This window comes from Homo sapiens, chromosome 2 (genome assembly GCF_000001405.40).
Source record: "Homo sapiens chromosome 2, GRCh38.p14 Primary Assembly".
Classification (NCBI taxonomy): Eukaryota; Metazoa; Chordata; class Mammalia; order Primates; family Hominidae; genus Homo; species Homo sapiens.
Window position 1 is genome coordinate 223,479,766 of NC_000002.12, and position 18,357 is coordinate 223,498,122.

The 18,357-nt window shown below is 39.5% G+C and overlaps 1 long non-coding RNA gene across 2 annotated transcripts in view; it reads left to right on the forward strand.

The window, feature by feature from the left end:
• Window positions 1-9,302: 9,302 nt before the first annotated feature.
• Window positions 9,303-18,357, forward strand: part of LOC105373907 (uncharacterized) — a 40,025-nt gene continuing 30,970 nt past the window's right edge. For both annotated transcript variants that reach the window (NR_187973.1, NR_187972.1), the window contains exon 1: window positions 9,303-9,412. This is a non-coding gene — a long non-coding RNA (uncharacterized LOC105373907). The remainder of the gene's footprint in view (window positions 9,413-18,357) is intronic.

Sequence of the window (18,357 nt, forward strand, 5' to 3'; positions counted from 1 at the left end):
AGGAGTTTCACCTATGAGGTCATCTGGGCCTCCATTTCCAGAAGTATGGCCTGGCATGGAGATTGCTTTTGCTGACCTGAGCAGTATTTATTTCATGGGATCCCATGATACTGGGTCACCAGTCTCATGGTGTCTCAGGGCAACTCTCACTGACCTCCAACAGAGTACAAGTTAAGGGCTCTGAACTGTGCATGGTCTATTGCCAACCCTTGGTTTTAAGTTCTGTGTGTGGGCATATTAATTGGCTCTTGCCATTTGGATTCTAGTCATGATGCCACCTTTGGTCTATAGCACCCAAGGGGTAGTGCTAGTGGCAGACATTCTTTTATTCTGTGTACCCTCATTGATGACACTTAGAGCAGTCAGCACATCCTCTCTACAGTCTTCACTCCATATGTCAGATTCTCCAGGGATGGTCATGACCATCTCATTTTGTAAGGCCATTCCTCCGCAATGCCAGTGGGTCCTTCCAATCAATGTCCTTTCTTTCCTCCAATCAATGTAGTGGTGTAAATGCACATCTATCAGTCCTAAGTCATTCCAGATGAGGACTGACCATTCCTTGTATTAATACAAATGGGACTGCTCTTGTCAGTCTGCGCATAGTCCTCTTCCTTTCCTCAGGTTATGTAGATGGCAGAGCTGCAGTCAACATTGAAAGAGTTCGCAGTCTAGGAATGCATTGATTACAACCTAAAGATTTCAAGAGGAGATATAGTTGGAAAATGTGTTTTGCACATTTATGCTACAAAACTCTGAGTGTTAAATGAACATAACCAGAAAATGAATTATTATTCACATTATTTTTCTGCATATTCTGAGTAAGACTCGTATTTGTAATCATCAACAAATAATGATAAGCTTTTAGAGAGCCACTGCAAATAACTATTCTTGGGTAGCACATGGACAATGCATGGTTATAAATGATTATATAATCAGCATTAAATAAATGACATTAGGAAAGTATAGTGGTAAGAAGGTCTCTATTGTTTTAATACAAATGGTTCCAAAGAGCTATGGTTTTGCAGGCAGAATTCTGAGATGGCCCCCCAAGATTCCTGTTCCACTGAGACTGTGGAAATGATCTATTTTACTCCTGTGATTAGTTGATATTATGTGGCACGTTTGACTTTAAGAAAGAGAGATTATCTTGAGTGGACCAGATCTCACCAGATACGTCCTTAAAAGTCTGAGTTCTTCCTAACAAAAGAAATCTGAAGTATGAGACAGCTTATGGAAAGGAGCGATGTAGCAATAAATGGGTGGCCTCTAGGAGCTATAAGCAACCCCTGCCTGACAGCCAGCATCGAACTGAAGACCTCAGTCCGGCAGCCACATAAAAATACTATTTTGGAGTGATCCTCATAACAACTTGAAGGTTCTTGGAAGCAGATTTGTCCCCACAGCCTCCAGAAAGGAATATATTAGTGATATGGTTTGGTTGTTTTCCCAGTCAAATCTCATCTTGAATTGTAGCTCCCATAATTCCCACATGTTGTGGGAGGGACCCGGTGGGAGGTAATAGAATCATGGGGGCAGGTCTTTCCCATGCTGTTCTCGTGATAGTGAATAAGTCTCACAAGATCTGATGGTTTTATAAGGAGGAGTTTCCCTACGCAAGTTCTCTCTTGCCTGCTGCCATGTGTGCCTTTTGCCTTCTGCCATGATTGTGAGACCTCCCCAGCCACATGGAACTGTGAGTCCATTAAACCTCCTTTTCTTTATAAATGACCCGGCCTTGGATATGTCTATCAGCAGTGTGAACACGGACTAACATAATTAGGTCGGTGCAAAAGTAATTGTGGTTTTTGCTATTGAAATTAGTAGCAAAAACCATTGAAAGTAATGGAAAGAACCGCAATTACTTTTGCACTAACCTTTTATACCACAGTCAACATCCTGATTGCAGCCTGTGAGACCCAGGCAGGGAACCCAGCTATGCCTTGCCTAGACTTCTGCCCTAGAGAACTGTGAGCTAATACATGGGTGTTGTTTTAAGCCACTTTGTAGTAATTTTTTATGTAGCTTGGAAAACTAATGCACATCACATTGCCATTTTTTTCCTGTGGTGGGAGATATTAAGTTGCCAAGAGTAGTACGTTTGATAACAAAGGACATGAAGAGATGATTCCTGGACCTGCCTGAACACTACAAAGAACCCTCACATTGTCCGATTGGGCAATAACTATATGTACGTTCCTATTCTCTACTCCTAATTCTAAATCTTCAACTGTATTCTTCACATTCTTCATGAACTTTGTAATACAGCTTTAAACCAAATTGGAAATATTTTCCAGGAGCCCCACATACCCTTGGAGAGGCTCTGATAATAATAGTTCTTACTTTGTTGAATTGTTACAAATATTAAATGAGCTAATACATTTAAAGGGTTTATCACAGTTTTTGACAAATACTAAGCACTCAATTAATGTTAGCCATGTCATTTGATCTTAGAAACTACCTCTGGCCATCAGAGAAATGCAAATCAAAACCACAATGAGATAACATCTCACACCAGTTAGGATGGTGATCATTAAAAAGTCAGGGAACAACAGGTGCTGGAAAGGATGTAGAGAAATAGGAACACTTTTACACTGTTGGTGGGACTGTAAACTAGTTCAACCATCGTGGAAGACAGTGTGGTAATTCCTCAAGGATCTAGAACTAGGAATACCATTTGACCCAGCCATCCCATTACTGGGTATATACCCAAAGGATTATAAATCATGCTGCTATAAAGACACATGCACACGTATGTTTATTGTGGCACTATTAACAATAGCAAAGACTTGGAACCAACCCAAATGTCCATCAATGATAGACTGGATTAAGAAAATGTGGCACATATACACCATGGAATACTATGCAGCCATAAAAAAGGATGAGTTCATGTCCTTTGTAGGGACATGGATGAAGCTGGAAACCATCATTCTCAGCAAACTATCACAAGGACAAAAAACCAAACACTGTATGTTCTCACTCATAGGTGGGAATTGAACCATGAGAACACTTGGACACAGGAAGGGGAACATCACACACTGGGGCCTGTCGTGGGGTAGGGGAAGGAGGGAGGGATAGCATTAGGAGATATACCTAATGTCAATGACGAGTTAATGGATGCAGCACACCAACATAGCACATGTATACATATGTAACAAACCTGCACGTTGTGCGCATGTACCCTAGAACTTAAAGTATAATGAAAAAAAAAAAAAGAAACTACCTCTAGATATAGCAATACAGAGATTGTTCTATGCATTTTACAACTGAGGAAACTGAGTGTGAAGCAGGTTAAATAACTCATTCAGGGTCACACAGTTACTAAGTGTAAAACTTGGATAGTCACAGGTCTTGTAGATTTACTTTCTACTATTGATTTTCTGCTTGCAGAGATTCCTCATAGTAGGATGATGTCAAAGTTCTTTATCTTTAACAGACGAATATGCAGAAAGTCATATTTTTAGAGTGGCACAGTAACTGGAGGCCCATGACGTAGAGTCATAAACCAGTTATCACTTCAGACCCTTGCTACTCGAAGTGTAACTGTCCAAACAGTAAGCATCTGCCTATTAGAAATCGACTATGTTGGCAGGGTGTGGTGGCTCATGCCTGTAATCCCAGCACTTTGGGAGGCCAAAGCAGGTGAATCACATGAGGTCAGGAGTTCAAGACCAGCCTGGCCTATATGGTGAAATCTCGTCTCTGCAAAACTACAAAAAAAAAAAAAAAAAAAATAGCCAGGCATGATGGTGGGTGCCTGTAATCCCACTTACTTGGGAGGCTGAGGTGGGAGAATCACTTGAACCTGGGAGGCAGAGGTTGCAGTAAGCCGAGATCACACCATTGCACTCCAGCTAAGGCAACAGAGCAAGACTCCGTCTCAAAAAAAAAAAGAAAAAGAAAAACAAATTGACCATGTTAGAAATGCAGATTCTTGTGCCCTACCTAAGAGCTACTGAACCAGCAATACGTTTAACAAGATGCCCGGTTGTTCATATGCACACTAAATTTGAGAAACACAGTTTAGGAGTGTTCATCCACTAATCTACTTAATTTTGGCCTTCTTTATTCACTTGGGGTCTCCAAGTGAGTTCAGCTGCGTTCAGATATTTCTCTAGGCTTTCTTAGTGCCTGTTTATATATATTCCACTGTTTTAAAAATAGAATTCCTTTATTCTGGTCACTAATAGTATACTTCCAATTTTTTTGAACATTTTCCAGGGAAGGAAAGAGTTGGCTTCACTCATTATTGATTTTTTTTGTATTTAATATATTAAAACAAATGCAAAACAATTAAATGTTTACAAGCATTGTTTTATCCAAATCCATATTTAGGGCATCCTAGAGCACAGTGTCTAATAATAAAGTATCGCCAAATACATGTCTAAATTGACTCGGGAAGAATTACCTTAGAATGAAACTTATCAAATTGGTTTTATTCTTATCCTTTAGTTACTATTGTCAGCTCTCTCTCTCTGTTCTAGCCTCTTCTCAGCTCTTTCTAATGGACAATCATAGATCCCCAGGATGTTCTGTCTCCCAGTGCCAAGAAGCTGGCAGGAGGACGTTTCACACCTCCACCCAGAATCCAAGGGGCGTTAGGCATAGCTGTGTTTGTTCCAGGCCATGGGTGATAGCATCAGATTGTACTCAAGATGTAGCCAGGTGGTTTTCTGGTTTCCTGACATTGGATGTGTGTGATCATTGTCCAAGAAACCAAGTCCTGATACCGCAGCCAGCTGAGTGGAATGCACTTCCAACATCTATTAGATGATGCAGTTTATAAAAGTGGGTGCCGAAGTGTCCCTCCTGTGTACAGCAAAGACCTTCCCTTATATCTCTCTGATAAGGGAAAATGGGCTTGGCTGAACAAAGGCAAGTGTTCTCAGAGTGCCCTTTAGAGAGGAGACAAGGTTTTCAATGAAAGAGAGATTAATAGGACGTCTCCTCAGCTGCCACATGCAAACACACACACATACATACACACACACACACATCAGGCTTTCTCAAGATAGGGAGGAATGTCTCTCTCAAACGTCCCTCTCAAACATCCCTTCCCTTCTTGAGACAACATCCCTAGGTCAGGTCACAGAGCGGTGCTATGCCAGTAGCTCTAAAGTTTTGATGAGCTCGTGCAAATACATTAAAGATGAAAAAAATCAATAATGAGCGAAACCAACTCCTTCTTTTCTTAGAAAATGTCCATAAAATTTTTGAAACATACTACCAGTTGCTAGGATAAAGAAATTTTATTACTAAAGAGTAAATTTGCATCCACAGGATGTGGTACTACATGTTGGCTTATTTAACTTTGCTTGCCAGTGGGCTGGTGCCCCACTTTCCCTGCCCTTGTTTTCTCTTTCTCTATAGGGAAAGAATATTTGATATAGCAGCTTACATTTGATACCCTTTCTGTTTCCAGGTTGACCCATCCATCCCACATACCCAGACTAAATATTCATGCTGAATCTCCTTCCAAACTCCAAAAGGCATTAGCAAATACAGGGTGTGTTATCTAACCTCCCGTGACCCTAACTAACTGTGCTTCCTCTGTCATCCCAAAGCATCCTCCCTTTTAACCTGTATCGTGGCTATATTCTGTATTTACCAGAAGAGATTTGAATTGTTGACTTGCACATCCCTCTCTCCTCCTAAAACATGAGCTCGTGAAAAGCAGAGCCAATGATTTCTTCCTTTTTTGGAGACTTGTTGAATGAATTGGACTGCCGAATCCCTCCCATCTCCATGCTTGCTCTCCAGGACCTGTGTCTCTCCCTCAGTTGCTCTAGTAACTCCTTCTCAATCCCCTACACTGGGCCTGCTCTTTGCCCAGTTTGCCAGAAGACCAGCATAGTAGATATCATGTGTGAACCACTTGCTGGGGTAAGTCCCGGCAAATCACCTTGAGACATAGCACAGGGTTTGGTCAGATTTCAAGAGTCATCGTTTTCAGCATGTTCACTGCCTAGTTCCAAACACTTACTGCCTCTATGCCATTGCATTACTTGGAAAGTGAATTTGTCACTTGCTGGTTATGCTATTGCAGGACAGTCTGCTCTGAGTTCTTCCAGGTCCCTGAGTTCCATTTGTTTTTGGGGTCCTACACTGTAAATTCCTTTCTCCTTCCCTTCCACCATCTCTCTGCTGATGTTCTCTTCTTGGTGACAACCATGCCTAATATGTCACAGTTGTGTCCTTGCCTGGAGTGCACAGCTGGGGACAAGTAGCAACAGGTTTTATTTGTTTGTTTGAACAACTCAAATAATCTGTTAAATGGTCCCTTTGTGTGTCTATAGCTCATGTATATGCAAAGACATGGTGTGATTTCTGCTGAGTCTAGGCAAGGCACAAACGTTCAGGAACAGGAGCTTCTCAAATGAAGGAAGTTACAATTATTGCAATTTGGTGACCCTTTCTTTCCAGAGTAAACTTGACATTCCGTTGTTACTAAAGGTGCTGTGTGTTGGCCGGGCACAGTGGCGCACGCCTGTAATCCCAGCACTTTGGGAGGCCGAGGTGGGCGGATCACAGGGTCAGGAGATCGAGACCATCCTGGCTAACATGGTGAAACCCTGTCTCTACTAAAAATACAAAAAAAATAGCTGGGCATGGTGGCAGGCACCTGTAGTCCCAGCTACTTGGGAAGCTGAGGCAGGAGAATAGCGTGAACCCGGGAGGCGGAGCTTACAGTGAGCCAAGATCGGCCACTGCACTCCAGCCTGGGCTACAGAGCAAGACTCCGTCTCAGAAAAAAAAAAAAAAAAAAACTAACGGTGCTGTGTAGTGATAGCAGAAGCTGTCAGCGTCCCCTCTGTTCACCTCATAGGTTACCTGATAGGTCCCTTTCTGGGTGTAGGATCTTGCTCGGCCAAAATGAACACGGAGTAGACAGAAGCAAGAGAAATTAATGCCCCAGGGGTGCCCCTCAAGCAGTGACGAGTTTTCTAGCTCTGTTGTCTCCTGAAAATAAATTTTGAGTTATTTTCTACACAGTCTCATAGAAGATCCCCAGTGGGACTGAGCCCCAAATGTCCAAAGCAGTGACCCACTTATCAAGTCACCCTCTATTGACTTTTCTCCTTTCCCTCTCTCACTTCTGCACTCCTCAAATAAGCTTGCACTTAAATCCTTGTCTCAGGATCTGCTTCTAGTAAGCTGAAATTATCCATGCATGTCCAAATGTGTAAAAAACAGCAAAAGCTATGCACTCTGACTAACCACTCACTATTCATGATTTAGTAGGTTGTGGTCCAGGACTGTGAATCTTACTGTTAAGGGAAAGGGGTTAAACTTAATGTGCCCATCTGTATGTGCTCTAGAATGTGCCAGATGTTTTATATACATACATAGTTTTATTTCTTCATAATGGTACTTTCCTCCTGCATTCAATGTAAGAATTAAATGAGATAACATAAAGTGTTTGACATGGTGCCTGGTCATTTTTATTTTTGTTATTGTCATTTATTTTCTATAAACAAATTGAGGCTCAAAGAGGTGCAATATATTCGGATTTATTTGCATATGGACAATATGCATTGGATAAAGGATTCAAACCCAGCTTTGTTTAATTCCAAAGTTGGCCACACTCTCTGTATGCTGCCTTCCATTTTTCAATGATGGTTCAATCAACTTAATTTACAAATGCAAATGCTTTTCCTCTGAAGTGTCAGATACTCCTAGGCCCCTTTCAGCATTAAAATAATACCTTGTCCTCATTTAAATAGGCTGCCATCCTCACATGAATCATCACACAACATGTTTTTCTTTAAGAGTTCCACTATAAAAGAGCAGTCTTCACCAAATTCTCCACTGGCAGGGATATATTTTAAAATGTCAAATCTCTAAGAGAAGAAAATAGATTCATCTCTATTTCTGTCTCCCATCCTAACAAAATCCAATTATGGTAACAATAACCGCTCATCTGCTTACTATCAAGATCAGCCAGTATTGGGCTTTCAAGATGACAGATGACTCAAGTGTCCCCACATCACCCTTAGAACAGGGCCTACCTTTCTGCAGAAATGTTTGGCAAACTTTGAGTAATTATTTTAAAGATATTGCAATACCCACCAAAACTCATCTACATTTTTAGTTTTCATCTGACAGAACACAACTAAATTGATCTGATAATCATGTGCCCAATGTGTTCTTTTTTCCTATGTTGGAAATAAATTTTTGATTCTTATTTAGAGACTCTGCTAAGGAAGAAGAGTTAATCCTATATCCTCAATCCAAGAGATTCCTCTTCTCTCTGGGACTGTGGCCTTTGATTAAACCCAAGACTTTCAGAGAAAATTAATACATACCTAGCTAGCATTGGGATTTAGCCTTGGGATCACAGTGATGTTGCTACTCAAGAAATAATTCTCATTACAAAAACAGTACTGGCTTATTAAAGAGCATTTGGAAATACATTGTCAAAAGAAATAATAGATGGAGTGGGGAAGGGGTTAATTTCCTATAACCTCCATCACCAAAACACACTTACTTAAAGCAGTCTGACTTGCCCCCAATCAACGTGTTCACGCATTTTTCTAATAACAATTATTTTATGTATTCAGTTTTGTTTTGCTTCTTTAACTCAACCTTATATCATAAACATTTTTATTATATATTCTTTGAAACATCATTTTCAAAGTATTTGTAGGATTTAATTAAGAAGATAGACACAGTTTACTCAGTGATTAACCTGTGATTGGATAGCTTGGTGGCTGCCAAGTTTTTGGTATTATCAATGTAGAGGTGTGAATTTTCTGTAGTTAGAATTATTTTGTTAGAATCAAATTTTTTAAATTTCAATAATATTCAATGATTGATGTGGCTGTGAAATTATCTGAACTGGCTTTAATTCGTAATGTACTATTGACAGGTTTCTAAGCTTGCTCAAGCATCAGGAAACCAGTTGGTAGCTATTAGTATTTCTTAGCAACAACTCATTTCTTTTTTCCCTCAACATGAAGAAGAAAATTAGACCAGGGAAATATTGAGTCAACCTCTAAAATTTGTTATTATACAGCTTAAGTTACTATCAGTGCTAAAAAGGGGGAAAAAAACATACTAAAATGTTAGGGTAAATTTCAGACCACAATATTTGTCAGTTAGACCTTGATTAGAGATGATTTCCTGTCTATTCCCCAATCTAGACTGTTTTTAGATCAGTTTACAGTCTAAAATGTTAACAAATGATACAGAAGGCCAAACTCAAACTGTAAATCATCCATTAAAGATAGAACATCCTGTGCTTATCAGATCTAGTTGCTAAGTACCCACTCTTTATGACTCAGGAGCCCACACAGACCCGAGGCGCCAGCTGCAGTTTGAGATAGCAGACTGGGGAGACAGCAATACTAATGTGTTGAAAATGGATGAGGGGAAAACTGTCCCGGATTTTCAGGTGGTTCATACAAATGAGGTGAGGAAAACATTCAACAATGTGAATGGCGTATTCAACACTGGGATAGAATGAGGTGATAGCCCATCAGGAACAATCTAGAACTTGTCTTGAGCTGCCAGAGGATATTTCAGGCACAAAGCATTCATGCCCTCTCCATGCTGTGCAACTGCATTTTTTCCCTCCCAAATCCCACCCAACATTTATTTAAATAGAACCCAAAATAAATAGGTTATTTAACTTGGCATATTTTTTCCTATGCAAAAAAAAAAAAGAAAAAGAAAGAAAGAAATAGTTACACCTAAGCTGGAAATCACAGTGGTCTCAGGATGACTCTAGAGCCTTGGCTCAGAACCAGTCACCAGCTGTGGGGCCTCAAGCCAACTGGTAAGCGTTCTGTGCCTCAGTTTCTTCCTCTTGCAAAACAGGCTCTCTCAAGTGTGAGGATTAAACAAGACAAAGTATGGAAGGCACTTGGCCCAGTATTGGGGTCATGATATGTACGTAATCAATATTAGTGATGATGGCTCTTCCTTTCTGGAGGTGCATGGGCTATTATCTCAACATAGAGAGGGCATTTTCTATTGCATTCTTTTTTATCTCCCTAAACACAGACAGGAGGATTATAATGAAGATTCTATACCTATTTACTATATTGAAGAACCTGTGCTTTAGAATGGCATGCTCCTCTTCAATTTTATCAGAGAGCTTTGAATACGAGCTGTTAATTTTCAGATACTTAAAAGGGATAATGTTGTGACTAACAGCTGTGTTTCTGGAGTCCTGTGGAGCTGAATCTGAATCCCTAATTTTCAACCTACTACTTGGGCAAATTAGTTCAATTCTTTGTGCTTCAATCTCCTCATCTGAGAAATAGGGATGGTAGAGATACCTCCCTTATTGTGTCTTGTGGAAATGTCAGAAATAATTTATTTAAGTGGCATAAGGCATGGAACCTGGAATATAATAAATCTTTCACAAATGTTAGCTGTTTTTATATTAGGAATTTAAGAGGTAAAGCGGGAAAGGTTAAATAAGCAGAACTATTTGAAAGTATTGCCCTCCACTGTTCTTTCAAATCAAGACTGTCTCTCTATTAATTGAAGGATTTAGCAATATAAAGTCATCACAACTTTGGTCAATCTGTACATATTCTTGTGACTTTGGATAGTCATATATTGGACTGATTACAGAAGAGTCCCATCTTCGAATGGTCTGTTTTAACAAAAAGTGTTGTAATACTAGTCAAACTAAAAGCTTTTATATACATCTTACCAAAGGAATTGTTATATAACTGCTATTATATTAAATAGCATCAATATGTAATCATCCAAACATTACTTTTTTACTTTGTCCCCACCAGTGTCTTAAGTTTTTGTGAATAGCTCTGAATTCTTATTACCTACTAGTACTTTCTACTTCCAAGAGTCTTTAATTCTTTCAATTCTTTCAGGAAGAAATAAAAGGACTTCTCTGGGTGAATTCTACTTTAAACTAACATCTGCTCCAATGTTTCTGGCTTGTTTATTGTCAAGCTACTGAATTGCCTCTTCCTTCTCTCTCGGCCATCCACTTTTATTTTATGTACTGTCTGTATTTTTAAGTCTAAGCTGTGTTTCTACCGATAGAAAATCCTTAAGAAACTTGTGGGCTTCCTATGTATATCACAGAGATTCACTTCATTAGATGAGAGGCTTCTCTACAGATCTTTCCTAGATAATCCCATCTCTGTTTTTAACTTCTGCTAAGATGCCTGAGGAGATAAGTAAGTCATACATTTAATCTCTTCAAATAGCTTTTTTGTAAGTGAACATTCTGACTTTTTGCAATATGAATAGGCTGAGAATTTCATGAACATCAATCCTGGTTTCTCAGTGTACTTTTTTCCTCTTTTTTTAATTTTTATTTTTATTTTAAGTTCTGGGGTACATGTGCAGGATGTGCAGGTTTGTTACATAGGTAAACGTCTGCCATGATGGTTTGCTGCACCTATCAACCCATCACCTAGGTATTAAGCCCAGCATGCATTAGCTATTTTTCCTAATGCTCTCCTTCCCCCACCTAACCCCCCAACAACCCAAATGCCCATCAATGATAGACTGGATAAAGAAAATATGGTACATATACACCATGGAATACTATGCAACCATAAAAAGGAATGAGATCATGTCCTTTGCAGGGACATGGATGGAGATGGAAGCCATTATCCTCAGCAAACTAATGCAGGACTATATGTTCTCACTTATAAGTGGGAGCTGAACAATGAGAACATATGGAAACAGGGAGGAGAACAATATACACCGGGGTCCTCTTGCATTTTACTGGAGGCTGCAGAAGTCACAAGGCCACACCTTTAATGCACCATTTGGAATTTCCTCAGCCAAATGTCCAATTTCATCTTTTATAAATTCTGCTTTCCACACACCTGTAGGACACAATCCTGATAAGTTTTCCACCACTATACAAGAATCCCTTTCCTTCCAGTTTTCAGTAACATGTGCCTCTCTTCCTTCCACACCCTCACTAGCACAGTCATTAACATATAGACTCATATTTAGTTTGTTTAAGACAATCTAGGCATTTTCTATCATCCTCAAAATTTTTCCAGACTCTTCCTGCTGCCCCGTTCCAAAGCCACTTTGGCATTTGTAGACATGTGTTCCAGCAGCACCCCAATCTGTTCATTTTACTTTCCTATTGCTGCCATAACAAGTTAGCACAAATTTAGTGACTTAATATAAATTTGTTATCTTGCCATTTTGTTTGTCGCAAGTCTGACATAGCTCTCACTGGGCTAAAATAGTGCATCAGCAGGGCTGCATTCCTTTCCAGAGGCTTTGGTGGAGCATCTGTTTTCTTGCATTTTCTAGCTTCTAGAGGCTGCCTTTACTCTTTGTCTCATGGTCCCTTCCCTCTATCTTCAAGGTGAGCAATGAGGGTTTAGCATCTTGCACATTGCATTACTCTGACCTCACTTTTTTATTACGCCTCCTCGTCTGACTCTGGCCCCTCTGCCTCCCTCTTCTGCATTTAAGAACACTTGTGATTCCATTGGACCTACCTGGATAATCTAGGATGATCTCCCTATCTAAGGTCAGCTGATTAGCAACTTTAATTCATTTGCAACTTTAATTTTCCTTTGCCATGTAACCGAACATATTTACAGGTTCCAAAGATTGGGACATGGAAAACTTTGGGGGTGGGGGTAATTATCCTGCCTACCACAACATCTATTCTATCAAATTCCAAGTCATGAATGCCTCCAACTTTCCAGGTCTCCCTGGAGGTATAGTAGAATGTTTTCAACTGACAATTGAGGGCTCCGAAAGACATCTCCCCACATTTAAGTCTCTCCTCTCCAATCTCTGTTCTGGTTTCCTGGAAGGCGTATGCTTAAGTGTGTGTGTAATGCAGAGTTTAGAAACATTTAGACAAAGGAATTACAAAGCTAAATTTTGGCTAGCAGTCAGAGTGAAAATTCTGATGTTTTAGAGAAGCACACTTACCAGATTTCTTAAAAGGTCAATCCTCAGTGATTGTTGTATCTAACATAATTTAATCTAAATTTTTTTTTTAGCAATCCAAATGCTTTCTCTCTAAACATTGATGGTAAATTAGACGTTTCTCTGCCTCTATAATTTTTCCCTCTCTTCCCAGGCAAATGGTGGATACTTATTGCAAATTTGGTAGGTTAAGAGTAAAGAGAGATTTTTTTTCCCAAAAATATTCCTATTTCTATTTGGTTCTACCCTACATTTAAAAACACATTAACTGACACAAACAAACAAAAAAGCAGTAATAGTATTTAAAAATCACCTGGGCCAGGCACAGTGGCTCACGCCTGTAATCCCAGGACTTTGGGAGGCTTAGGTGGGTGGATCACCTGAGGTCAGGAGTTCGAGACCAGCCTGGACAACATGGTGAAACCCCGTCTCTACTAAAAATACAAACATTAGCTGGACATGGTGGCGGACACCTGTAATCCCAGCTACTGGGGAGGTTGAGGCAGGAGAATTGCTTGATTCACCACAGCGGAGGTGGCAGTGAGCTGAGATCACACCATTGCACTCCAGCCTGGGTGATAATAGCAAAACTACACACACACACACACACACACACACACAAAAGAGAGAGAGAAAAAGAAATGAAAAAGAAAATCACCTGTAGTGCAAAAGTCCATAAATTCAGAATATGTTAGGTTCAGAATGTGTAATAGTCAACTGGAACCAAATTTGGCATAGTGTTGATAATTTAGCCATGATTACCCACTAATTTCAACTAACCCAAGTTTGTTTATATACTCTGACACAGTATATTTTGAATAGATTTAGTCATGTTTTAAGATAACAAGTTGTATTTACCATGTGTTTGAGTAATATCATGAATACATCATGTGAGCCAGCAGCTATTCCTTAATTGCCAGAGCTTTAAGAAATAGTTCAACCTTTTAATCCACTATTTTGTGGTTAGGCATATCCCTCATAAGACACTACATTGGTTTGTACTGATGCCTGTACAAGCTTTTACCTACTTGCAAATCCTAGCAGTAAGTCAATTTACATTCTATAATCATGTCACATTCTCATTTTAAGTATCCTTTTTAGATCTCACCAATGTGAAGAAATATATGAGCGTTCATCATACAATCTTGGATTTGCTCTCTACCTCTCTTTGAAAGAGGTGGAAGCATTAAGACTTATCTTACTAAATTGCAGGTAGCTACTATTGGAAGATTTTTACTGATGGCTCTAGATTAATAAAGTGCAATCGTATTTTGATTTTATGATGACATCCATTTACCTTCCTGGGATGGAGATGCTATCTATGTTTTTTACCCTTTCTCTCATTAGCACATTGATTTGTTTTGATTATTGAAGGCAACTCATTTCTCTCTTGCCTGTTTCTATTTGCATGGAAATCAAGGAAGAGAGCCTTGAGGGGTTTATAGCAGAGGCATTTAATCTTGGTGCTTGCAGACTCATGGCAGTAACTTTGAGAAAATGGTTATGATTGCTATCCTTGAGTTTCCTCACTTTCGCCTTGCTCTTAAACTCCTACCCATCTTAAATTTATCACAAAATGGCCCACTGCAGTTTTACGTTGTGAACTGGAGGGAATAGAAAATCCTTTCTCTATAAATGAATTTTACTGCCATATAACCACTGGTAAACTTGTAAATAAAAATATCCTAGATTCAACACTGCCTTTCAAAAATGAATGCCTACTACCCAACATTTTAGAGTTTTTGAGTATTGGATGAGAAAATTGGCCTGCTTACCCACTGAAACATTAGAGCTCCCAAGCTAATTATTTTGTACCAGCGTATTGTTTAGGAGTTTTAGAGTTGCTTCATTGATTTTAGCCAACATGTATTTTCTATAAAGAACTCAGTAAGTGAATAGAAACGGGAGATCTGAGTCAGAGTGGGAAATTGCAATTTTATGTTCTCTAAAACAGAACAGATTTTTGGATTTTCCCCTTGAATAGAAATGCATAGGGGGAGAATTTGGTCTAAGCTACTTAAAATACAGTTCCATGTGGACTGAACAAAACAGTCACCACAATTTGGTTAAATCATTAATCTTATTCAGATCAATTATTAACAATAACCACCGACTTCTGTTGCCCAAAGTAGATTTTACTTCATTGTCAAACAAATGTCATTAGATATTTACTTTGCTATGTTAATATATTAATTACTGTTAATTTCTAAGACTATAGCTTTAGGAACATATATTTATAGAAATACATATATTAATTTTAAAAAGTAAATGAGAAAATCATATTCTTTGTGACTTCTGCTTTGAACTCTTTAAGCACTAAGAGTCAACTGATCTCAGCACCAAAATTACAAAACAAAATACATTAGCATCAAAGGATTTGTTCATCAAATTGGTTCACAGTTGCTCTGTAGAAGACTATTGCATCTATAATGGAGGAAGATGAGTAGTTAACTGGATACTTCAGTGATTTGCACTGATTCTTTGCCCCACCAAGTGAAAAACTGCATAGTTTACATGCTGATGAACGACCACAGACAATGAATTATGTTACAAAATACTTTTATTGCATACTTGTTATATACAAGGACTCATATTTGGTGCTAGGGAAAATATAGAGATTAATAAGATCGAGAAATGAGTAACCTGGGCCTGAATTTAAGCATATGAAAAAAAAGAAATTAGTCATCATGTTTTTTCTAATTCAGTAAGTTTAAAAAAAGAAATTAATAATCGGAGTCTCCAAAAATAACTCTAATTCAAAGTAAGGGGAAGTGCTTAGCATGACATTGATGTACAGATTTTATAGCATGGGCCTACATCAAAGTACTGAATAGTGAGGTAGCAAGTTTGCATGAATCTTGGAAGAGAAGGTAACGTCTAATGAAATGGCTAATTTTAGACTTCAACCCACAAGCAGCAAGTTGGTGTTAAAGAGCAATGCCCAAACTGAATTAAGGATAAATAAATACTCAATTCTGTCAAGAAAATGATAAGATCAGTACTATCCTATATAGTAGTGGAAATATAAATCCATTAAAACATAATATTGAAACCATTTCTGAAAAGCAATTTAGCAACATATGTTGAAATTCTTGACAGGCTTTATATTCTCGGACTCAGTAATTCCTCTTCTGAGGATATAACCTCATGAAATAAGCTTAAGTGGTCAAAGATTTATAAAGCTGTTTGAGGCCATCATGGTATTATTTTGGGTATGGAAAAATTGGAAACAACATAAATATTGAAGAGTTAGAGAGTGGTTAAATAAATTATGACACATCCATTTATTGAAATGTGATGAAATTGGCCGGGCGCGGTGGCTCACCCCTGTAATCCCAGCACTTTGGGAGGCCAAGGAGGGCGGATCACAAGATCAGGAGATCGAGACCATCCTGGCTAACATGGTGAAACCCCGTCTCTGCTAAAAATACAAAAAATTAGCTGGGCGTGGTGGCGATCGCCTGTAGTCCCAGCTACTCGGGAGGCTGAGGCAGGAGAATGGCGTGAACCTGGGAGGTGGAGCTTGCAGTGAGCTGAGATCATGCCACTGCACTCCAGCCTGGGTGACAGAGCAAGACCCCGTCTCAAAAAAAAACAAAACAGAAATGTGATGAAATTACTAAATAACGTGTACTTTAAAAACGAATCAACAAAATTAAAATGTTTAAAATATAAATAAAAAGAAACAGATTACAAAATGCATATATTGAGTGTGATCCCAATTTGGCAAAATATACACTGGGAAAGTGATGTTTAGGCTTTGTGTCCCTACCCAGATCTCATCTTGAATTATAATCCCCGCAATCCCCACGTGTCAAGGGAGAGACCAGGTGGAGGTAATGGGATCATGGGGACGGTTTCCCCCATTCTGTTCTCGTGATAGTCAGTGAGTTCTCACAAGATCTGATGGTTTTATAAGGGGCTCTTCCCCCTTCACTCAGCACTTCTCCTTTCTGCCACCTTGGGAAGAAGGTGCCTTGCTTTCCCCTTAGCCTTCCACCATGATTGTAAGTTTCCTGAGGCCTCCACAGCCATGCTGAACTGTGAGTCGATTAAACCTCTTTCCTTTTTAAATTATCCAGTCTCAGGCAGTTCTTCATAGCAATATGAAAGTGGACTAATACAGAAAGATATACCAAAATGATAAAGGATGCTGTTCTTAGAGATAGGCTTTGCCTGCACAGAGATTTTTTGGAATTGATCTCTGGGATTAGTCATCATGGAATAGAGGGAAGCAAGACTGGGCAAGGGGAGAAGCTGTGCTGCAATGTGGTTGCAATGGATGCTTCAGACAGTTCCACAGGGTGTTCCAGAACAGGAAGGGCCCTTCAGAGTTTCTCCAAATTTAGACAATGAAGCCAGAACTGTTTTTGTTGTTGTTGTTGTTGTTGTTGTTGTTGTTGTTGTTGTTGTTGTTTTAGACAGAATCTCACTCTACCACCCAGGCTGGAGTGCAGTGGCAAGATCTCGGCTCACTGCAACCTCCACCTCCTGGGTTCAAGGAATTCTCCTGCCTCAGTCTCCAGTGTAGCTGGGATTACAGGTACACGCACCACCATGCCTGGCTAATTTTTTTTTTATTATTTTTAGTAGACACGAGGTTTCACCATGTTAGCCAGGAGGGTCTCAATCTCCTGACCTTGTGATTCACCGATCTCGGCCTCCCAAAGTGCTGGGATTACAGGCGTGAGCCACCACACCCGGCTGAAGCCAGAACTTTTATAACTACACCAGAACTTTTATAACTACACCAACCAGCCATTAACCAGAGCCACCCCTACAGGGTATGTGCAATAGACTGAACATTTATGTCCCCCCAAAATTTGTATGTTGAAATTTTAACTCCAAAGATGATGGTATTAGGAGATGAGACTTTGGGAGGCAATTAGATGATGAGGGTGAATACATCATGAATAGGATCACTGCCCTTATAAAGGACCCCCCAGAGAGCTGGTTTGCCTCTTCTACCATGTGAAGACACAGCAAGAAGTTGGCAGCCTGAAACCTAAAAGAGTGCCCTCACCAGAACCTAACCATACTGGCACGCTGATGGACTAAGATAGAGTGTGAACTTGGTGAAGCAATACCCTGCAGCTAAGGGCAATTTCCAGTTTGGGGCAAAGCTATGAGCTGTCTGCAGCCAAATTCTCCATAGCTGAGGCATGGGTGCATAGCCATGGCAGAGGGTTCTGAGCAGATTACTATAGTGTCTTCTATGAGCACTCATTTCTAATGATGATAAATTACCAGTGATTTCTCTTCCTCTCACCCCCGACACTCTCTCTCTTTTAAAAATACATTAGAGTACACTCCTTTTTCTAGTATGATTTTGTTGTACAATCAGAATATCATTGTTAAACGTTAATATAAAAAAAATTAACTTAGTCAAGCCTTTGCATTTGGAGCTCTTACTTGAATCTCCTTAGTTTTATAAAACACTGGGACAAAAGAGATCAGAATTTG